Genomic DNA, 24,423 nt, shown 5'->3' with positions numbered 1-24,423 from the left:
AAGCACTATAACATTGCCATTAATTGTCATTAATGACTGTGAAGTATTTATAGATTTTTAGAATGAGCTTCTGTAAATGTGTTCTCATGTAAATTTCTGAAATAATAAAAGATATCCTTTTATCCTTTGTGAAAAACTTAGTGTAAGAGAAGTAGAAGAGAGGGTGCAAGTGGACCGATGGAACAGTGTCTGTGTTCTTGTGTCTCAGTCACACACAGCATCAGTAAGAGGTGGATTGAGAGGGCAGTACCAAGGGCAAGGAAAATGATTATTTCTACAATGTGAGGAAAAACACTAGGGGAAAAAGATGTTTGAAGCTTTGATTTGTTAATTACATTTATAGAAAGAAGCCATATTTTGTTGCTGATAAAGGTCAGCATGATGAAGCATGTTTTACATCAACTTTTTGAAAATGTGGTAAGCAAAAAAAAAAAAAATGCTGAAATCAGTAACCTCTAAATAACTTGTGTTCAAGATTCACATTAGGTCCGGTACCCATCAGTCCTCAGCGTCTCATGCCATCTGTATCAGCATCTAAGTCTGTATCTTAATGTAAGGATAATATTAAAGGGGGAAAAGTTACATTATGTCACATACACATGTGTACATATATAATCTTTTTCAAAAGCAAAGCCACTGTATTTATGAATAAAAACATTCAAGTAAGCATTTAGTAGTCATTTTCTTAAAATATATGTTGTAAAGTACTGATCTACAGATGAGGCAGTAAGTTCATGATTCCTTCCCTGAGGATTCCGAATAACTTATAATAAATATAAGTATGCTCACACATGCCACAGATTGCAGAGGCAAATAAATTGTGCTCACAGGTGTTTTTTTTGTTTTGTTTTGTTTTGTTTTTTTGGGGGGGTTTTTTGTTGTTTGTTTTTTGTACATAGATATAGTCATTGTATCAGCAACCGCTGATTGGCATATGCATGCTCGGTAAATATTTCTAGAGATGATTTGATGTTAGATCTTTTTAGAGATTCTGTATATGCTCAAGTGCATACTATCGGATATGGTTTTATGACAAAGACAACTTCCCTGAGTATGGAAAATCCTTAATAGAAAAGATGTGGAGTGATTTTTTTTTACTTTAATATAGTTTACATATGCATCTTATACATGTGCATATATGCTTAAAAACTACCGTCGATAAGGTCAACAGTATCAACAATGACCACATCCCCATGGTGAGCCTTCAGTCTTGTCCTCTTGTTGGCAGTTGACACTACACACAGTCCACCATGGATGCTTTTTCCTCCCTTTGATTCCCAGATTCTGCCTTATCTTGCTCCCCCACTTGGACTTTTCTTCCTCAGGTTTGTTAGCAAGCTCTTCTTTCCCTGCCTAACTGGAAATGTTGGTTTTTTTGTAGATTTCTATCTAGGATCTTCTCTACCCTTCACTTCAGCTTTTGGGTAGGCTCAGTCAGTCATTGTTCCACAAACAGAACATGGAGTCCTTACTCTCTGAGGACAACCTATCTTTTAAGTTACATTCCAGCCTTTCTCTTGTCGAACATGTTTTTCAAGCTTGCCCTGTCCAATGGTCCCTGGAGTTTTCAGTTCACTAGGCCTTTATTCATTCATTGTCTCTATTGTGCATATTAAAAGTTGTAATCAGTCACTTAATTGTATCCTTTAACGTCGTAGATTTTTAAAGCTATTTCTTCATTTTCCATGCCACGTTGTTGGTTGCTTACCAGACATTTCAACTCTTTGTCCTAGAATCATTAACACTTAATCTCACATTAGAGACCCTCCATGATTTGGGCCATTTTCTGTGATTGTCTCTAAGGTACAGCTCCTTGAGTTTTGGATCTCAGTGTGTTTTGCCATCATCTGCACTTGGCATAATTTTTTCTTGACCCAGCTCCAATTTTATCTTGCACCAGTACCCCAAACAAAAAAGTAAATTGTGGAAGACTAATTGTCATCACTGTGCTTTAAATTATTTTCCAAGGTATTTTTAATTATTTTCCAAGGTATTTATCTCCTCGAACTTTCTCAGTTTAGCAGTAACTTTATTCAAACAGCTCAGGTTGTAAGGTGTACATCAATTCTTTAATTCTTATCTGTAGTGCATTGTGAATCATGGCTTGAGAGGATGAACCTTATTTAGTTAGGAAGTATCTTCCAAACATAAATGATTCATTTGTCAGCAAAGATAATATCATAAAAGAAAATATAACATAAAACAGCTCTCAAATATTCCCGCTAAATAATGAGAATATTAGAAGGAGCTACTTCAGGTTAAATATTGTGACTCAAGGCCAGGCACAGTGGCTCATGCCTGTAATCCTAGCACTTTGGGAGGCCAAGGCAGGTGGATCACAAGGTCAGGAGTTCAAGACCAGCCTGGCCAAGATGGTGAAACCTCATCTCTACTAAAAATATGAAGAAATTAGCCAGGCTTGGTGGTGGGTGCCTGTAATCCCAGCTACTCAGGAGACTGAGGAAGACAATCGCTTGAACTCAGGAGGTGGAGGTTACAGTGAGCTGAGATCACGCCACTGAACTCCAGCCTGGGCGACAGAGCAAGACTCCGTCTCAAAAAAAAAAAAAAAAAACACTGTGACTCAAAATATAAGCCTTTCAAAACAAAAGGAAATGCAGCAAAGAGCTTTTTAAAGTATGTTTTAAGTGTATTGAAAATAAGAATTTCAGTAAAACAGTTGTTAAAGGTTGATTTATGTTTGTTAAATGTATTTTTTAAAATATTGGTGGTTTCCAAATCCTTCTGTTTCTTAGATTTAGTGTTCTGTATATAAAAGAGTATATATTTGAATCTCAATAATTATTTATCTTAATGATATAATGTGGCTGTTCCCAACCTATACACTGCAGACACCAGGGGAGCCAGAATTCTTAGAAGAAATGTTGAAATCCATATGCACACAAAGTTCTGTTTACTGTATACAGTAAACAATATGGCTATTGTGGTATTATTTTAAATTATTTTTTTAAAAACCCTTTCTTCTGCTTACCATTGTTTTACAAATTAAAAGCCATACAGAAGAATATAATACAGAATGGTAGAATTACCTATAGGTCCACTATTATGGCAGCCACCATTAAGAACTACAGATCTAGCTGGGTGTGGTGGCTTGTGCCTGTAGTCCCAGCTCCTCGGGAAGCTGAGGTGGAGGATCCCAGGAAACCAGGAGTTCTAATTCAGCCTGGGCAACAGAGCAAGACCTTGTCTCTTTAAAAAAAAAAAAAATTAAAAAAAAAGAATTATAGATGGAATGGTAAATACTAATTAATCATAGCCAGAATTTAAATAACACTATTTGTCAGACACTGTTCCAAGTGTTCTTGAATATACTGAGTCGTGTAATCTACAACAATGCAATATGGTAGGACCTTTGCTATCACTACCTAACAGATAAGGAAAGTGTGGCACACAGTTAATAAACCTGACATATATGGCTCCTAGTTTTTCCTTTGGGTAGACTATAATTCTGTTATCTACAAAAATAGGAACATGTCATCCTCTATATACTGTTCTGCAACTATCAGGTCCAAAAGAAATTCCCCGTAACTCTCCAAACTGCTCTTCCCCCCATCTTAGATATCAGTTAATAGTGTCGCCATCCAGTATTTCTGCAAGTCCTGTTGATACTGTCTACTTTAAAAAAATTTCTCTGAATTAGCCACTTCTCACTGTCTTTACCACTTTTACCCTACTTCACACCATTATTATCTCCTGCCTGGACAACTGCAGAAGCTTCTTTGGCTGGTGTGCCCATGTCCAAGGTCACCGACTTCTGCAGTCCATTCTCCACCCAACAGTCACAGTAAGATTTTAAAATGTTAATAAGATCATGTGACCTGACTCCTTAAAACATTCCAGAGTTCACAGCACTCTGATGGCATGCAGGACAATAGTCTGCCTCCTTAGCCTTCCAAAGCCATGGGATCCAGCCCCACCATCTTCTTGGACCTCACATCCTGCACCCTCTCATCTTTCCTTCCTCCTTATTGACTACATTTTTGCCCCATTGCCCTCATTTTTCTCTCTGGAATGTGTTGCATTCATTCCTGTCTCAGAGACTTTGCACTTGCCCTTACCTTTGGCACCTTCACGTGGCTGGCTACTCTGTCATTTCAGTATCACCAGAGAAAGAGGCCTTCTGGGCCGGGTGCAGTGGCTCACGCCTGTAATCCCAACACGTTGGGAGGCCGAGGCGGGCAGATTACAAGGTCAAGATATCGAGACTGTCCTGGCCAACATGGTGAAACCCCATCTCTACTAAAAATACAAAAATTAGCTGGGCGTGGTGGCGCACACCTGTAGTCCCAGCTACTCTAGAGGCTGAGGCAGGAGAATCGCTTGAACCCGGGAGGCGGAGGTTGCAGTGAGCCAAGATCACACCACTGCACTCCAGCCTGCAACAGAGCGAGACTCTTGTCTCAAAAAAAAAAAAAAAAGCGGCCTTCTGGAGCTATTTTATTTAATGGATCCTGTCTCCCCCACCCTCCCCGTCCAATCTCAGTGTCTGTCATTTTCTTTGTAATACTTCCCTCTATCTGAAATTATTTGTTTACTTCTGTATTGTCTCTCTATTCGCCATGACTATAGAAGTTCCATGAGGATAAGGACTTTTCTCCTTCTAGTTTTTCTCAGTGCTTAGAACAGTGGGGCCCACCGTAGACTTTCAGTACTTGGCCTAGTTAATGAATAATTTAAACACACCAGCATGTTCAGATCAGTATGTGAGGATGTTTACTGATCTGCTGTTTATATGGTCCTCCAAATTCTCGCTGTGCTCTAAGATAGGTGAATGAATGTTTGAATTGATTACATATGGAAAAACAGAAAACACTGTAGCCGGTGATGGTGGTGGTAGAAGCTTTTATCTGATTAAGTAATAGTATAAAAGATAGGTTTGTTTAATTCATATTAAGTGAGTTTAAAAAATACGACTATTTTTTACATGAAGAATTTCTAATCACTGAAAGTGGATCAGTCGCTACTGTTTTGTTATGAAATTACTGTAAGGATGGGAAAGATAGTTTTACATATGATAATTCCTGGAACAACACGGTGCCTTAGAGATTCTCAATGAGCCAATTTCTCCAGGCATTTTTTAATTTGTAAAAAATCATTTTTTTTCTTACGTAGCTTCTTGTTACTTCTCCCCAAGCACCATTCTTTTGGGCAAAAACATAGCACACTAAGTGTTTTTGATGATTGGCTAGTGTATTTCCTCCTGACTGTCACCAAAATCAGTATAAACCTTTGGTTAATCTTTTCTATCTCTTTACTGAGTCATTAGATGGAGTATATTTAGTACTGAAAATAGTTGCAGCTTGCTTGTGTTTCCCTAAGAGAAATACTGTCTTTACAAATGGAAATAAAATTTTCACTCATTTCTGCCTTTATAATATTTTAACATTTGTATAAAATCCTCTGAACTACCTTTGCTGATGATAAACTTCTTTCTGTGAACAATGTTTCTTTGATTATTAACCCCCAAAATGATGAGTTTTCGTAGTTTTTTCTAACTCTTCAATATTAAAATGGTTTGGAGGGATGCAGAATACCATCTATTGCTTACATTTATTCAGACATTTTAACCAAAATCAGCAGCACAGATATTATATCAATGTAAAAAAGATTTTAAGTGTTATATAATTAGCTGATTTAGAAAGAATAATATTTTATTCATTTTTTATGTTTGATCCAGATCAAACAGTGTTTGCTGGGTTTCAGAATACGTTGTTTTTAATTTGAGTTTGAGCTCAATTTGGATTAAACTTGATCAGGACAGGCTATTCCATTTATTTTTATACTTTTATCTTAAAAGGATATCTTGGAAAGGATCTTAGCTATCATCTGTTGAACCTCTTTTTGCTGAGAATTATGGCCCAGAGAGGAGAGGTGATTTTGCAAAGGTTTCACCAGTTAATGGCAGAGCTAGAACTAGAGCCCAGGCCTCCTTAGTGAGCCTCCATTCCTGTCTTTGATCCCTGCATGTTTGGCCCTCAGTTTGGGCTTTACATGCTATGTGTAGATGTTTGGTAAATTTATTATTCTCTGAAGTTGAATTTTGACATACAAATCACTAAACATGCTTTGTATTTTAAAGACATTCAGTGTCTAAGAAGAAGGTGAGTTCAAGATCTGCCTCCCCCCATTTTGTGATATGTATAATCTAAATGTGTTTCTTAAAACTGGATGCAAACAATTTTCCAACCATGTGCCATCTTTTAGTTTCAAAGATAACCACATGATAGTGTGTCAATAGAGACTAGAGTTTTCCAAACCCATCTATTTTTGTGACCTGTCTCTTGTGTTAATAATGCATATGTTTGCAAGACAGCTGGCTGAGCTTTTGACAATAGTCTGTCCCTGGATTCTTTTTTTCCTCTGTGCAAAGCTAAATGAACCATATGGGAATTGAACTGATAACCTTGGCCTCATTAATTTACCTTCTGTAAAATTGACTTTTGTAAATTTATGTTCTACTGTAATGAGATTAGGAGTGTGATTTCATTCACTCAATAAATAGTACCAACACTGGGCTAAAGGCGTTGGGAACACAGAGATGCATACAATAAAATTTTTGCCCTCGAGGGATTAGGATAAGTGCACAAGTCACTAATACAAGAGCAAGAGTGGTAACTGCTAAAGGAGAAGGATTAGCAAAATGTGAAGGAGTTAGGAGAAGGGAGAGTGGTACTTCATGCTGGGGGAACATCAGGGCCCTTTAATGATGGACAGGGTTTCCAGTGGGAGTGAGGGAGAGGAAATGCTAGGTCCTGTAAATGGTGGTTGACCAGAACACTTCAACAGGGATGTTGGCATGTGCTGAGCATAAGGTTAAGCATTATGATTAGACCCTGAAGGAGAAGACTGATAGTAGGGAGAAAGACTTTAAGTGTCCTACTAAGATTTTTATTTATGGTGGCATTCGGAAGGGATGATTGAAGATTTCTAAGCATAGAAGTAATACAGTCAGAACCTTTATCTTCAGATTCGTCAGCAGTCACTGTAGAATGAACTGGAAGGAAAAGCTAGAGTTATGGAAGAACCCTTGGGAAGTAACAAGGGCCTGAACCAGTGTTACCAACAGTGGGATGCAGAGAAGCTATGTGAGAGTTTGCAAAGCTGGACTGAGCAGGACGTGGTGGTAACTGATTAGATTGGATAGTTGAGGAAAGAGTACAAGGTTTGAACCTGGGTAACTAGCAGATGGCAGTACTCTTTCACAACATCAAAATCTGGAGAAAGAAAGTAAATATTGTTTTGAGCATGATATGCTCAAGAAGCTAATAAGGCAGACTTGAAATTGGAACACGGGGTAGAGGTTGGAGCTGGCTGTAAGGATTTGGAAAGTCATTCACCAAGCGAGCTGTTTGAAGCTAGGATTGTGGATGAGATCATTAAGGGATAGAGTATAGAAATAAAAGAAAAGGAATGAATGCATAAGGGTCATTCTGGCAGGGGCTGTCAGGGAGTGGAGATGGTGGCAGGGAACAGAGCAAAGAGAAACCAGAAGATCAGCTAGGAAGCTTCTGCAGAATCCCAGGTAAGAGGTGTTGACAGCTCGAAGTAGATGGTGCTGGAGGAGTGTTTGGAGATTGATCAGAATCTGAATATGTTCTGTGGATAAAACGAATAAAATTTAACAGATTCAGGGCTAGGGGTGTTGTGTGAGAGAAAGAGAAGGGTCAGAGACAAGTCCATGCTTTTTAGCCCAAGCACGGACTCCCTGCCTTAATCTAAACATGGTGTTCTCCTCATGCAGGTGTCTATGTTCCAATTTCCCCTGTATATAATAACATCAGTCCTATTAGATTGGGGTCCACCCTATTCCAGTATGACCTCATCTTAACTAATTACATCTGCACAACCCTAATCCCAAATAATGTCACATTACAAGGTACTAAGGGCTAGGACTTCAGCATATGAATTTTTGGGGGACACAGTTCCATCCATAGTAGTTGCCGTTAACTGAGAAGAGGATATCTGTGAAATGAACACGTTTGGAGGCAGGGAAAGATCTGCAATTTTGCCCATGTTGAGGTTGAGGTGCGTGTTAGACACCCAAGTGGAGATACCACGTGGGCAGTTGAATAAATGGGTCTGAAATTCCAGGGAGGGGTCTGGGCTAGAGATAAATATTTGGAAGTTGCCAGCATATTGGTGATATTGAAAGCCAAGAGACTAGATGAGATCACCGAGAAAGTAAGTTGGGATAGAAAAAGAGGAGAGTTCCAAAGACTGAAGGTAAGATCCCAATAAAATAGTACTGGGATCAAGGCCCACAGAAATGTCGAATAAAAATCCCGCTTATGCTTATAGTTGTGAAAAAGCAATTACATTTTCATGATGATTTTAAGTTATATTCTAAATATTTACAAAACCGTGGCATTTTCTTGTGAAGTGTAAGATGAGTCAGACAGGGTATGGATTAAGTTTTACTGGCTAATATGTTGAAGAAGTTACTGGTGCAGAAATGGAATGTTTTGAATGCCATAAAGAAGTCAAAGGATACCAATAAAAATAATAAAGAGCACTTTTCTCAGAAGGAGAAACAACTTTGGAGAACATTATTTCAGTCCTTGATTTAAGAAGTCATTTTCTAGAAAGGCAGTCATGCTCTAAGCAGCTGTATAGCTTGTTCTTTCCTCTGTTTTTCGTGAGAGTATAGTTCAAAATACTTTAAACAAATATTAACGCATTATTATCACATTTTAGCAGACTTGAAAAATAAATCTTCACTGTAACATAACCATTTTAGCCTTTTCATTGACATTTTTCCATGTTTCTGCTGTTTGGCTTGGAGGCAAAAGCTTTGACAGCAAGGTGATAGAAGTGACATACAGCAACTCTATCCAGTTTTCTGAGCCCATCCAGCTCCCATTTCTCTGAGCCCCCTTCTGCACATTCTTCCACCTCTGCCCCCTTTCTTACTCTGGCTCTCACCTAGTCATGCTTCAAAACTCAGGTTAGCTGTCACATTTCGGGAAGTGTTTTGTAATTCCTTTATTCATAGTGTGCTGCCCCCGTTACCCTGCACCATAGTGCTTACCATAGTGCACCATAGCACTGACCGTAGCGCACCATAGCGCTTACCATAGCGCACCATAGCACTGACCATAGCGCACCATACACTGACCATAGCGCACCATAGCGCTTACCATAGCGCACCATAGGGCTTACCATAGCGCACCATAGCGCTTACCATAGCGCACCATAGCACTTACCATAGCGCTTACCATAGTGCACCATAGCGCTGACCATAGTGCACCATAGCGCTTACCATAGTGCACCATAGGGCTTACCATAGCGCTTACCATAGTGCACCATAGCGCTGACCATAGTGCACCATAGCACTTTCCCCAGTTCTACTTTATGAAGTGTTGCTACTAGATCTTCATAATAGTTTATGCCCCCACCAACTTTGAGGGCAGAGACTGGATTTTTGTATTTTTTCTCTTGGTATCTTGCACAGGATCTGCAGGTAAATATTCAAGAAATGTATGTGAACTGCAAATTGAAAAATCAACTTGTTTGCCTGCTTGGTACATATCTAAACTGTCACTGAACTATGATTCCTTATCAGAAGTTAAAACATTTTGTTTAGGGAGTGTCATCAACTAACACAGTACTATATAATATATCTTGAGAAGATTCCCCTTAAAAAGTATTCAAACAGATTGTTGCCTAAAGGGTTACATTTGTCCCTAAAAACTGTTTCCCAGAGAGCCCTTCAGTTTCTTACCATGAAAGATACCTGAGATATTTACCCTGTTTGGTTTTTTGTTTTATTATTGGCTGTGTCCCTTCAAATTAGAAAGCAAAATGAAATAATTAGAACACATCTATATAAGATAACATGAAAAAATGCGGGAGCTTAGAGGGATAAAATTACTGGCAGTTGAGACAAGATAAAATTTTTTTAAATTAGTGGATTATTTTGGAAAGGGGAGGTTTAAAATTTTTTTGGCATAATTGAGATCTGTGAGTCTGAAGAGTGTTGAGTAATATTATAATAGCTCTTTGATGCAAAAATAAAAGGACAGCAAATACATCCCTGATGACTTGGTTCAAGATTCTTTGCCCTGCCCACTTAAAGTGCAAATAGTGTGATTTTTTGATAAACCTTCTCCAAAAATAGGAAAAGAAGGAAAGAGATTTACATTTGATTATTTCTTATTTCTCAGTACTGAGAAGAGGCTTTGCTACACAATAACCTTGATAGCATTGCTCCACTCATCGGGTTTTACCTTTATTTTGCTAAGTCACATAGTATGTGGTCATTACACACTGAATTCTTGTATCGAACCATGATTATTGACAAATTTTGAGCTAAGCTGTGCAGCATGTTAAATGTGCCTTTACGGTGTAGTTATTTAAATCTCAATTTCTTTCCCCAGCTCTACTTTACGAAGTGTTTCTACTGGATCTTCAAGACCTTCAAAAATATGTTTGGTGTGTGGGGATGAGGCTTCAGGATGCCATTATGGGGTAGTCACCTGTGGCAGCTGCAAAGTTTTCTTCAAAAGAGCAGTGGAAGGTAAATGTTCATGTGGGTGTTCCTTTTACATATTTTTTCCTAGTGTGTAGTTTACTTGTACAGCTAATGCTATAGCATTATTGGGAATTCTTCAAAAAGATTTTTGATTTAATCTGTCAGTGATAAACAGTAATAGTGCCTTGTATAAAAACCACCTGGAGATTTTCCACAAAGCAATATTTAATGAGCAAAATTTGAAATTCTGAGCAAGGATCAACCAAAGAGGATTTTTTGTTGTTTGTCACAGTTTGTTTTTCAGTAAGACTCAGAAAAATAATTCCTTGTCATTGTAAATTTAATTTATGTGATCTGGAATAGAAGTTTTACTAGGCACACACAGAATACATGATTTCTGCCTTTTCTGGGTTTCTGTATAAATATGTGTTTGTGGCAAATTAAAACGTTAATATCAGAATCAAGTCTGTGATTTGTGTTTCATACAGAATAATTTCATTTACCAGCTGGTTCAAGCTCCAGGTCCCTGTGTGAGTCTCACCTTTATTCCTCCTGAAAGTTTCCAAATTTTGCATATTAAATGAAAAACCTGACTGAGATTCACTATGCACAGTTAGGCTAGCTTTTGCTTCTGCCCCAAAATCGTACTCCTTAAGGAGAAATGGTCTTTAATTTATTTTTACCTTTCCCCATCCTCACTTATAAGCAGTTAGTTACCATCAGACTTAGACCAGATGGTTTTATTGATGTTGCAAACTATGTCTGGTGAAAGTGTAGAATTTTTGCTATTAGTAAAAGATTCATTGTGTAATGGACAATTACATTCACTAAGGGGCTCCACATGAAGACTCCCTAAGGTTTATTTCTCAGAGAAGTTTTCTTAGAGATGACTTGGTGCTTCAGAAGCTTAAACATAAGTGGCTTGAATGTTTTCCCTGTGTTTTGCCAGAGACCACAAGGTCATATCTTTAGTTGTGGAATGAAAAAGTTAACCAAGTAATTATTCTTTCTCTTGAGATTGATTTTGCATTAATTGATATTACATGATTTTTACATTATTTACACAATTAATTATTTGGTAGTCCTCAAACCTAGCATTGAATTGGTAAAAGGAGCTCAGTAATTCTTTCTCAGGATTATGAGCTCTTGGTTACAGGTGATAGAAAATACAGCAAACTGGCTTAAGCACCGATGGAAATTCATTGGCTCACATACTGGAAAGTCCCAGCGTAGGCTTGGCTTCAGGCAAGCCATGGTCTTAAGCCAGGTCGTTAGAACTCAATCCCGCTCGCTCAGTCGCTTGGTTTTGTTCTGGCTCTGTTCTCATGCACGTTCTCTCATGGTGCTGAGACAGCTACCAGACCTCCATTAAAAAGAGGTTTTCTGTTCCTAGCAATTCCTATAAAAGCTCCCAGTGGAATCTCCTCAGATTGAACTTGGCTCACATGCCCACCTCTGCCCCAGTGCCTGTGGCTGGAAAATGTAGTGATCAGATAGGCTGGTTCTGGCTGGAGTCGGACAACCTGAACCATCTAGACCAAGAATGGGGAAGGACGTTTCCCTTAGGAAAATGTGGGTTCTGTTACCAGAAGGCCAATTTTTCAGAAAGTAGGAAAAATAAATTTGCACAATACTGAAGTCAGTTTGCTTTTGTGAGGCTTCCCCTGCCTCCTTCTCTCTTTCCTTAATTAGATGATTGGTTCAGTAAAAGATAAATAGGTGAGATTTACATCTGGCATCTTTCTAAGGCCACTTTGTGCTTTCCAATGTAAGAATTCCTCTTTCTGGCTCACTTAATTAGTAAACAAAGTAAGTGGTATGTCAAAATAAAGTGATGTGGAGAAGGACATTTTGGAGCAGGCAGTTGGCCAGCTGGCCCTACCTGTAGATCCACCTTCATGTCAGAACCCACATTTTGGCTGTTTGTAGAATCTGCCCCTTCTCTACTTCTGAAGCAAAAGGTTTCTAGAAGTTCTTGCTTAGTTTTTCTTGTTTTAAGTAGTTTCTGTGGAATTACCTAGGGAATTATTTTTATAACTCAGTTATAAACATACAAAAACCTAAATGCAGGTGCAACTTTTTCCTTCATTGGAAAGCTGATCGATCCATGGATAATGAAACTTGGTAAATGCCTTTTAAGACTTGTATTAATATAGTTTATTTTGTATTGATTTGGGAATTAGACTTTAATCATTCACCTGCTTGAAACAATGCTGTTAATTTAAAATCTAAAATTCATGAGAGTAAAGACCTATTTGTTTTTGTGTTTTTGTATTTTTTGTTAGTTTACTCTTTTATCCCATGTGTATGAGAGAGATTAAATATGTGAAAAAGATGGCTATCTTTATATAAAATATTTTTTAATTAATGAGATTATTTTTATAAAACTTTATAATATTTGTAAAACTCATTTCACAAAATCATGGTATATAGGTGTCATTTTATTTTCCTTTTCTAGATGAAGACATTTAGGATCAAACTTAGTCCACCCAATCTATTCCTAATCCTAAGGCCAAAGTTAGACCCTTACTCAAGTCATAGGACTCCAAACCTACACCTAACCTAAAGTCTGGATTCTAAATCTCATAATATAGCCTTGCTATTTTGCCATATCAGTTCTTGAGTTCATGAAAATTATAACCTATATGTTAGTCTATTCATGCCTCCTTGACTCTAATAAAGGAAGTGATCTAAGCACTAAGAAGGCACAGTTTAGTAGTCTTAGTCTGTGTATATATGTGACTTTGTATGTATATACATATATATGTATGGATGTATGTTTGTATATTTAAATATTTACTAAGTTTGTTTTCCAATGTCCCTTGACATCCCTAAGCCCCTCGTTAGATTACAGAAGCAGAGAATTCTGGGCAAAGTGGGTAGAGGGAGCTGATTTGAGGGAAGTCATTTAAAGCTAAAAGGAAATAATGGCACCAGGAACAGAACATGAAGATAATCCCTAGAGAGCAGACAAGAGGAAAAACACACCAGCCTGAGTTTTGAGTTGATGTCCTTAAGGCTTTATGATCTAGAGTGTGTCACCCTAAAGCTTGCTATAATAGCATAGCAGTGACTATGCAGACTGTAAATTATGATTTTAAAGTATAAATTTTTGTGTGTGTGTGCTCTGTTTAATGGGATGTATGTGTGTTCTTATTTTCTTCTTCTTAAACATTTAATATAAAAACACTTAGAACTGTCTTCCAAAATAACTTATTTGCCAATAATGTCAGTTAGTAGCCATATTATTGTACCTTACAAATGGTTTATACGTTCATTTTAAATTTGAATCACTTATTTGCCTTGAAGATTTTCAGAACCTTCCTGTCTTAAAGAAATAATAATAACTTAAAAAAAGGGTTCTCCCTTGTGGTGGAAGCTAGACTGGCTTCAAGGGTCAGAAACCTAGTTTTAATTTTTTACGTCACTCACTAGGTGTGAGATTAAGGCAAGTTATTTAAAACTTCTCTGGGCCTCAGTTTCTTTGTCTATAAATGGAGAAGTAGTGTTGCCCTACCCGAACATTGCTGTGAAAAATTACCTGAAAATGTTTGTACAGATTTTATAAATTATAAAGTAGCACCAAAATACTAGATTATTACTATCCTCTATGAACAAATGCCAAAGTTCCTGGTGATGTTCACGTAGAGAGATGATGTAAATGATACAACCACATTGAGTTGTTAGGTCGTCATTTTTCAGTCCTTCATTTTCCTTTGTTAGATCTTCATTATTCCTGTAATGTTATTTTGTCCTGAGAGCTGCCCTTTGAGGTGGCAAGATCCTTCTAAACTAGCAGTTCTCAAAGGCTGTGTGTGGAGAATGGGGATCTGTGGAAATGTCCTAGAGGGGCTTTTCCAGTGCAGACTGAACTGTTGAGATTTACTCCTGTAACAAGCCTCTGTGGCAGTCCCACAGTTGGGAGTCTCACAGTTGAGAAAATACTGAGAGCCCTCAACCAGGCTTTGCCTCTTCTGTTAGAAGTTTTTAGAGAAGGCAGAGTCTTATCTCAATAATCTAGCAAGGCTGTGGATATTTAGTAGCCACCAAATAAATGTTTGAATGAATTTCCATGTGACATAAGAGCAATCAAGGTTGGATGACTTCCCCCACCCAGTAAATTGTCAATTGAATTAGCTGAAGAATTTGTGTAGGCCTTTTGACTTCTAATCTGTAATTTCTCATTTTTGTCTGAATTTTGACTTTCTTAGTTTCTTTCCAACTGTAAATTGCCATTAGTTCCATCTCATCTGTGTTTTTTACTTTGTGATTCCTCAGTGAACAGAGTTGACTAGATTCAGCACACTATTTTATAACCTAATTTCCTTTTTGAAGACTCAGTATGTATGCAGTGTCTGGAAGACACAGCTACCACAAATCTCTAAATAGTTATATGGCTGTAAAAGAGAAAGAGAGCTCATTATTATGTAAAGTCAACTGGATTTAAATTGTTTAAGCAGACCTAAGAGTCCATATTTTGGTAAGGTCAGCCAAATTGTATGATGTCAGTTTCCACACTCACACATTTCCCTTGAAGGAAGAGACTTAGGTCTATATCTTGAAACTAAATGGCTGTAAAAGATACAATTACAAGTTAATCTTGGGGTTTTTCAAATAGGCAATATTTTCAGACAGCCAAGCCTGTGAACGAGTACCTCATTTCTTTTCCATGTAGTTCAGTTCACAGCATACATTTTAAAGATCTTTAAATTTATGATTGTGTATTCTATGAGAGAAAATATTTTTAAGGAAATGTAGTGGTTTATGAATCATTAGTTTTCTTTGGTTCTTTAAAATTAATGAGTAAACTGAACAGTTCCAGAGGAAAGTGTGTTTCACTGTGTCATAAACCACATTATCCCTGTCAATGCTGTGTGTGCACACACTCATGAGCAAGAGGGAAGAACAAGTGAGGGTGCCAGCAGGTGGGAGGTGTGTGTTGGGGGGGGGCAGTGAGCATTTGTGCCACAAAACAGAGAACTTCATTGTAGTGGACTCAAGCTAAATCAGAATGTTATTAATATTAATATTACGTAATAATTCAAATATAGCTATCTCCTTATAGCTGGCAATGTACAGTTAACTGATAAAGTAGGGGGAATAATTTAATGTATATTTATTAGATGTTTTTAATTAATGATTTAAGATACAGTCCCTGGTGTTTCCATGAATCATGTACAGGAAGCTTATGAGCATCTGAGCCTATTGTCACAACCACAATATTTGCTGTGTCAGATATAGGAAACCAAGGACTGTCTGCTTACTGCTTTCTTATGAAACACCTTAAAGATATTTTTTCTTTTCTCCTTTTTCAGAATTTAGGAACCAGGTAACCTGACTCTTTCTAATTATTTACTGTAAGAGCCTAAATAAATACCTACCCAGTAGGTTATATCTATGATTTTAATGAACACTCCTTTCCTCCTTCCATAAGCATAAGGCTGTCGTGCTAATGGCAAATGTTTGCCCAGATGTGTGATATCCCTTCAGTTGGTTGTTATGGGAACACATAGAGCCATGACATTTAGGCCACCCTGAAAGGTCAGGGAAGGTTTCTCCAACAATTGACCCCCATGCTGAATCTTGAGAGATCAGACTTGGCCTTGCTGAGGGACCTTAAGAACAGACTGTTGTTGCACAGGGCACCAGAAGCAATTTTGTGTTACCACTGTATAAACTTTCATATGTGAAGTGATAGGAAGTGAGGTTAAATGAGCAGATTGGGACCAGGTCCTGGACTCCAAGGAAGGTCTGAATTCATCCTTAAGCAAAACAGAACCTCTGAATGTTTTCATGCAGCAGAACGATAAGCTCAGTTTTGCACTTAAGATCTGGCTGTTGTGAGGTATACTTGTTTAAATGGTGGCTGTTTTCATCACTTGAGCTAGAAATGACCTAGGATGGACCTAGACCAGGGCTATCAGGGATTGAGAGGGCGGGCAGATAGTAAGACCATCTGAAAAGTAGCATGGACAGCTCTATATTGGAAGAGAAGAAGCAAAGATCTAGGATGACTCCCCAGGCTTGGCTGCTAACGCCGTTCACTGAGATAAGGAATACTGGAGCAGGGGCAGCTCTGAGGGCAAGGGATGAAAGGTTCATTTGCTCAGCAAACATTTACTCAATACCTACTAAATGCCAGGTACCTTTCTAAGCATAGCTGGAGACATCTTGGACAACGATCCCTGCCTTGGTAGAGCTTACATTCTAGTGAGGGGGTGATGAAAAGATTAAGCATAACAAATGAGTTATTTATGTAACATATGAAAAGGTGATTGGCTATGGGGGAAAAAAACCATTGTTAGGATAAAGGGGAGTTGGATGAGGTTTGGTTTAGGACAAGTTTGAAGTACCTATGGGACATTCAGGTATATCTAAGAGGTAGTTGGATATCTAATTTTGAAGCTTGGGAAACAAGGCAAGATTAAAAATAAGGATTTCAGAATCATCATCCATGAAAGTGGATGCAGATGGCCAAGAAATCAGTATTCAGAGAGACAGAGCAGGCCAACGTTAGAACCTTAAAGAACATAAGTCTAGAACATTGAGTGCATGCGTGGCACACGTGTGTGAATAACTAGTCTCTCTCCTTCTATTTCCAACTTGCACACAGAAAAGTCTTAGTTACTTTGATGATTCACCATTTTTGCTGAACTTCAGACATTATTGAATCTATGCAGTTTTCAATCCTAGGTTTGGTTCTTTATCATTATGCCTTGATTATTATGAATGTTAATCAGCCCAGAGCCCCAAACCAAACATGATATTGAGGGAATCTGGTTTGCAAACCAGTGCAGAGGCAACACCCAGCTTGCAGCAGGTGCTCAGAGAACACTGGTTGATGTGTTGTTGGTAACTACTTATGTGAATGGGGTTCGCCCTTGTTTCTGTCACCATGCCACTTGTTTCTCCAAAGTGGAAAATATGTTGAAGTAATTTATTAGAAAATGATTTGAAATAGGGATGTGTGAGCCAAAAGTAAATTAGTATTATCCAAAGACAGCTGCTTGTAGCTTAAATTTTAAATCAAGGTACAACTTCACATGGCAAATTTGAAAACTCTAAGTCAGGAGCACAGTATGTAATTTTGAAAATTATTTCCCAAGTTTATGTGTTTGTTTACAACCCATCTTGTTCCAGAAAATAATCCAAGGTGGCTCACAGATTTCCATGAGTCAAAATGAAATTTAAGTGAAACAAAAAAAACAACAGGAAGGGAAGATTAGAGCAAGAGAGGGAAAAACTGAGCCAAGAATGGAGATGATATAAAGAATATATGTCTCAAGGCCTTTGTCGAGTCTGGCCACTTATTTGGCACTCAGCTTTCTAGCAGTCAACCCAAAGCCAATGAACAGTCACCTGACTTATGATGTTCTTAAAAACTAGTTTAGGGAATTGCCTGTTTATAAGAAAATTTTCATGAGCTACTTTGGTTTTAATGTGCCTGCTCTTTTCATCTGATTTGTATCCTAAGATTTAAAAAGTAACTCTCCCATTGGTACTAATAGAATAGTTTGGTATAGACTTAAGTAGTGGTTTTGAGAAAAATACTTAGTTCTGTCTCCCACCTGGTCCTATAAGAATAGCTACTGAGTACTTACCAGGTACAGGCTCTGTGCCAAGTACTTCATATTTTATCTCATTTATTTCTCATAATAGCCTTCTTAAGCCAAAGTTTCATGAGTTTGGAAAGGTAATATCGTTGAATCTAAACTCCCTCAACAATTGTTGTCATAGGGAAAACATTGACTATTTCTTAACAAGACTTAAAGGTATGATCCTTTAATTTTTAAAAATAATAAGTATTTATTGAGGAGTTTGTGCTCTTTACGCTAGGAACTTGATTGTCTATTCACATTTTAATCCTCTTGATAATTCTATCAAATGTGTGGGGTTATTATCTATCCTCATTTTAGAGATCCATCCACTGAGTCGTGCATGTAGTAAATAACTTGTCCAAGGTCACCCAGTAAGAAGGAAGAGATGCAGTTGGGATTTGAACCCAGGCAGCCCAGGCCTTCTGATTGTATGTACTTAACACATCAGCTATATTGCCTCTCACAGAGTAATATCAGATACCAACTATTTTTACCCATCAAAAAGTAGGGCAACAACTCTGGCTTTAGAATACTCAGGAAGAGCACATTATAATTTAACAGTTATCTTGCTATACTCTAAATAATTAACTCTTACCCATTCCAAGTTGAAACCTTAATTTGAATTTCTGTTGCCTTAGTGGAAAAGAAATTGGGTAATCTCTATTTTTTCTTAAGGAATGAACTTCATATATAAAAAAAATTACCATTACTATCCTGAAGTACCTCTTTAACATCTTGATATTAATCTAAAGCTTTATTTAAAATTTTTATCTTCCTGTGTTTCATTTCCTGTGTGTGATAAAAATTAGATGTAGCCTATCAGGCTCAGAGAACCATTGGGAGAATGGCCTTCCTCATACAAAGCTGAATGCTACTAGCTCTCCAGCTCTTTGATGTCTGCTCTGTGCCTAGTGGCTCAGAAACCATACCCAAGAGTCCTAGGACATGAAGCTGCTCTCAGAGAACTTGCACTCGTGGTGTAGTTATGATCATATAACTTGTGTGATTTGATGTTACTGAGAATGATTTGACACCAGAAATGGAAATTGCTAAATTGACTGTCATCAAATACTAACATTGAGCCTTGGCAGGATGGGAAGGATGGGTGGGCATTTAGGTTGTCATGGAGAGGAGGCAGGTGATGGAAGACTATTAGATGGAGACTGTGTTGGGTGCGGTGGCTCACGCCTGTAATCCCAGAACTTTGGAAGGTTTAGGCGGGTGGATTATTAGAGCTCAGGAGTTCGAGACCAGCCTGGGCAACATGGCAAAACCCCATTTCTACAAAAAGAACAATAACAACAACAAAAAATTAGGCGTGGTGGTGCATGCTTGCAGTCTCAGCTCCTTGGGGGGCTGAGGCAGGAGGATTGCTTGAACCTGGATATTGTGGCTATAGTGAGCTGAGATCACACCACTGCACTTCGGCCTGGGCAACAAAGTAATACCCTGTCCCCCACTCCCCCCCAAAAAAAAGAAAAAGAAAAAGGTGATGGAGACTGGAGGCTGAGGACACCTGCTTGAGCAGACCCAGCTCTGTGAAAAAGGAGGAATTGGCAGCACTGGATGGTGGATCAGTTCTGAGGAATGATGGCAACCTTTGACAGACTCAGGAAGAAAATACTGAAAACAGTTGAAGAATAGGGCAGATGAGTGGGGTTTAGAACTACTGAGGCTTCAGAGATTAGTTTGCCAAAATGGATGAAGCAGTCTGGATAAACAGGAATACAAGAGCAGAAAGACAAAACTTTGAAAAAGTTTATCCTCTTCCTGGAGTTGTTTTCTTGCAAGTTTTAAAATAAAGAAACTACATAGTTAGCTACTAGGTAGTTTGGCAGTAGATTGGCTTAGCCAGATGTCCACGGCATTTGGGGTCATTTGGTGCAGTGTATGGGAAGTTACGTAATGAAATTAAAAGCCTGGGGAAGGTGTTGGGCCCTCAGTAGCAATGGAACAGGGCTGCTTGGTGTCGTGATCACTGGAAATTGTGTGCTGTTGTCAGTCCTCGTGTTAGAGCTACTAAATTATGATTCTAGCAGCTTATGACACCATATAAAGCCACAATATGAAGTTATTAATAATTGAGAAGGCAGAAAATTTCTGTGTAGCAAATAAAAAAAGATGTCAGTCTTTCAAGGCCCCTGGTTTTTTCATGTAATATTTTGCTCTTTAAAGACATACACATGTAGTGTAATAGTTCTTTCCTTTTAACCTTATTCCTCAATATCTATATATACTGCCCTTCTTGACTTGTTAGATAGGAAAAAGAGAAGCTGATAATGAGTTTTCTAGAGATAAGTAGTTATATGTAAAATATAAATACATTTTTTCCAGAGTCTGCCCCACTTAGACACTCGGCACTGTTCTGAGGCAAAGGAACAGAGGCAAAACCTTGAATGTTAGCCAGAAGACTTCAGAACCACCAGAAATTATCGTAAAATTACCTTTGCACATGCTCACATTGTCTCTCTCCCTCTCATCTTTCTGATACCATAAACCAAATCCACATCAAGAAAAGAACAGGCTGACACCAAAGAACGGAGCTCACAACTCTTGCAATGCCATTTTGCCCTCAGGTTGGCCCTATTTGAAGCTCTTTAATAAATGCTAGCTCTTAGAATTTGTTGACTCTAACATTACATTTACAAAAGCGTCACCTTCCTGTGTGTGCTGTCTTGCTAATTAACAGTGAATTCTTATACCTCACCTAGCAAAGAACAATCCCAAGGAAGAGAGAGAAATGTATTTTCTCCTTACAGGTATAAGACATTTAAACTCACACCTCTATGGAGTCTTTAATGTCTTTACTAGAGCCTTTAGCTTCATTAAATCACCGACATTCGACAACAGAATGCATCTTTATAAAAATGTTTACTTTTCTAACAGCGAAAACATGAAATAAAGCAAAAGATGAAAGAATACAAATCTAGGAGGGCATCATAACTATCAACAAGATTGAAAGGTCACTTATAGCAAATCAGCTGAAAAGTAGATGGTATGAGATTTTTGATAAGTCTGATATAAATTCATACTTATGTACAGTATTCTAGATCTAGTACAGGCTCATTAAGTTCTTTTTACTTGTTTCAGTGGAATCAAAACTATAGAATTTTTTTTTTTGGTCGGGGGGAAGCAAATACCTCCTCCTTCCTCTCAATCCCTTTTTATATTTTATTTTCTTCTTCAATTTGAAAGGAAGACCTAGGGCTTTAGTTTGGAGATTCATACCACCCTCTTAGAAGCCGTACTGACCATTTACTAGTATTTAGTGAAAGGCTGACTAACATTTTGAACCCTTGCTTTGAGAGTTTTCCAGTAAGTGTTATCACTGGTGTATAATAAAGGCGGCACCATTGTAGGTTCCAATATCATTTTTATATAGTGTTATACAGAATGATACTGCCCACTCAGAGACTCAGCAAATAAGTCTGTTTCCTTGTCTGTAAACAAAATGAAAATCTTCAAAGTATCTGCCCTGCCCATCTCTGAGTTAGAAAGATAAAAATTAACACACATACGTTTAAACTGCTTTAGAAACAGCAAGGGAGTGCTTTATAAACGTTATATTTTAAAGAGTTTTTCTTTGTTAAGTAATATTACACCTTGGTTCTCAATAAAATTTGGAATATTTAAACTGTGGCTACTTTATGTACATGTTAAATATTTGATTTGAAGGGGAAAAAGTAAAAATTGCAGAAAAACATATGTTACTTTAGGGAAGACCTGGAGTGTTTACTTCCTTGTCACTGGTTTAGGTAGATCTCTATTGTTTATGAATATTGTGCTAAAGGGCCAACTGAGAAAGCCGTTGCATTTAAGACCAGGATTTAAATTTAGTTTGCCCCAATACAGAACCAGACAAAGAGCAAAGATAGTTTTCACGCTCTTTCTGCATCTTAAACAATTTAGAAGATCACAACTACTTTTTACTTCCTTTTTTCCCTTTAATTAACTGTACCAAGATCTCTAAAACATATTGCATTCTCTTACCCTCCCACAACTTAATTGGAAAACCAGTGCAGGATTAGTCTAGGTTGGTCATTTTTCATCTGGCCTGCACCATCACATTTTCCCAGCTGAACTGGGCTCAGCAATTTGATATTGCTAAGATTACATAAGTTTTAATTGTTTTGTTTTTTAGAATACAATATAAACTGAAAGCACATTTGAAAAAGAATTGGAATGATAAGAGTATTAGCCATTAATTAGAAATCTTAAATAAAAATCACTGTTTCCAAGGAGAATGGTCGATGAAATTGTTATAGTCATGCCATTTCTAAATATTAGATCAAAAATCTCTTCAACCTCCCTTTCAGTTTTTTAAATTAAATATCACATGATTTAAATTTTTTAAATTACACATCAGATTAGGATTTATTTGAAAATCATAAGTTGTTATCACTAGTGATACTTAAAATTCAAAATTACTTATGTTGCATCTCTAAAATATTGAAATAGCTGACCTTTGCCTAATGTAACCGGCATCTGACAGACCAGAGCTATAGCAGTGACTGAGGTCAGATCACACTGAATCATGAAAAACCAGGTTCAGAACTTAGAACATCAACCCATGAGCAAGTGCTGAGAAGACACATGATGGGGTAAGGGACCAAAAGGGCTAGAGCCAATTTGGGATAAAGCAGTAACCGGAAATGGAAATGGAAAGGGCAACACTTCAAGTCCAGAGCCAGCAGAAACCAGGCACATTCATTCAATTCAGCAACAGCTGTGGAGTGCTTACTATGGACTAGGCACCAAGAATGTGCTGTGGTCCATTCCCACTAATAAAAAGGCCCACGGATACTAGATTCCACAATTGACTTTATTCTCAGCAGTGTGCTTCTATTTTTTAAATCATCTACTGTGTCTTGAAAATTACCTGTAGAGCAGACTCATCATATTGGGCCTTAGGAATTAACTTTGTCTTTTTCAGTAAAGCAATACAAATTGCACAAAAGTCAAATAGAAGCAGGAAAGATTTCCCATTTTACAAAGTTGCCCACTACTGAACTCAGTTCACTAGGCAGAAAATTGGAGTTTTCAGATACGGGTAGCTAGTTTCTTTATCAGACTAAGTTGTAATTTATAGTAGTGACCCATTGGGATGAGATGTGAACAAAAAAGAAATGATTTTAGTAGGAAAAATTAACCTCTATTGAGCCGTTAACACATTCTCTGTAAAACCAGAAAATTATTGCATTTTTAAAGTTACTTGAAAATTTGAGCAAATTACATTTCCCATCGTGAGGTGGCACATCGAAAAGTAACATGAAAGTATGTTTCTCCATTTATGCAGGAAACCAGAGTAGGCTTTCTGTTCTGTCTTTATCATAACTTACCATTACATAAGTACTAATTGTGCTTTTCTCTTTATCCTTTTTTTAACTATCAAAGATGACCTGACATTACATTTTAAAAAGGAATAGTAATAAAAGTAATGCTAATAGGCATTAATAAAAATCACTGTTTTTATAGGAGACTGGATTAAGAAATACTTATAAAATATCGTTACTAAATGGTTTTAGATATAAAGTTCCTTTAAGCAACTTCCCTTTTAAAATTATAAAATTAGGCCAGGCACGGTGGCTCATGCCTATAATCCCAGCACTTTGGGAGGCCAAGGCGGGGCGGATCACTTGAGGCCAGGAGTTTGAGACCAGCCTGGCCAACATGGTGAAACCCTGTCTCTACTAAAAATACAAAAAATTAGCCTGGCGTGGTGGTGAGCACCTGTAATCCCAGCTACTCTGGAGGCTGAGAAATGAGAATTGCTTGAACCCGGGAGACAGAGGTTGCGGTGAGCCGAGATCATGCCGTTGCACTCCAGCCTGGGCAACAAGAGCGACGCTCCATTTCAAAAAAATAAAATAAAATAATAAAATTAAACATACTCCTAACATTTCTGATTAGGATTTATTTGAAGATCCTCAGTTGCTAACTGGACTACAAGAAGAATGTGATTTCAGATACTTGTGGATATGATACCTTCAGTAGTGAATTTTTTTAAAATCCTCAACTCTGTATTAAATATTTTTTACAGTTACTGAAATTTGTTTAAGTTGAAAAATTAGCAAACATTTTCACCTTGTAAACAATTTTTTCTTTAGTAATTGTATTATGATATTCTACTATGCATTATAGGTGATTTGGACTTTTTGTTGCTTGAGGAAAAGCAATTACTGAAGACAATATTATTATGCAGAAAGGTGTGTACCTGAAATGCAGTCATTCTACCTGTTGTAGACCAGTCTTTTTAAAAATGGAAATGGCCTCATATAGTCTCATGGAGAGAGCCCTCTGTTTTGTTGTTGTTGTTGTTGTTGTTGTTGTTAT

General features: G+C 37.6%; 1 protein-coding gene across 10 annotated transcripts in view; it reads left to right on the top strand.

Annotated features, from left to right (window-relative positions):
- The window catches only part of NR3C2 (nuclear receptor subfamily 3 group C member 2), a 366,559-nt gene that overhangs the window by 174,808 nt on the left and 167,328 nt on the right, over positions 1 to 24,423 (top strand). For 8 of the 10 annotated variants that reach the window (NR_148974.2, NM_001437655.1, NM_001437654.1 and 5 more), the window contains exon 3: positions 10,398 to 10,537. Coding sequence is in view for 9 of the 10 variants with exons in the window: in NM_001437655.1 (NP_001424584.1) it covers positions 10,398 to 10,537 (140 nt within the window). In the remaining variant the exon portion in view is untranslated. Of the gene's footprint in view, positions 1 to 10,397; positions 10,550 to 24,423 lie in introns of all 10 variants that reach the window. The other 2 variants (NM_001437657.1, XM_011531978.3) reach the window with 1 other exon arrangement.

The sequence above is a fragment of the Homo sapiens genome, chromosome 4 (assembly GCF_000001405.40).
Source record: "Homo sapiens chromosome 4, GRCh38.p14 Primary Assembly".
NCBI lineage: Eukaryota > Metazoa > Chordata > Mammalia > Primates > Hominidae > Homo > Homo sapiens.
Note: the sequence above shows the minus strand (reverse complement) of the source record. Positions and strands in the feature narration are given on the sequence as shown.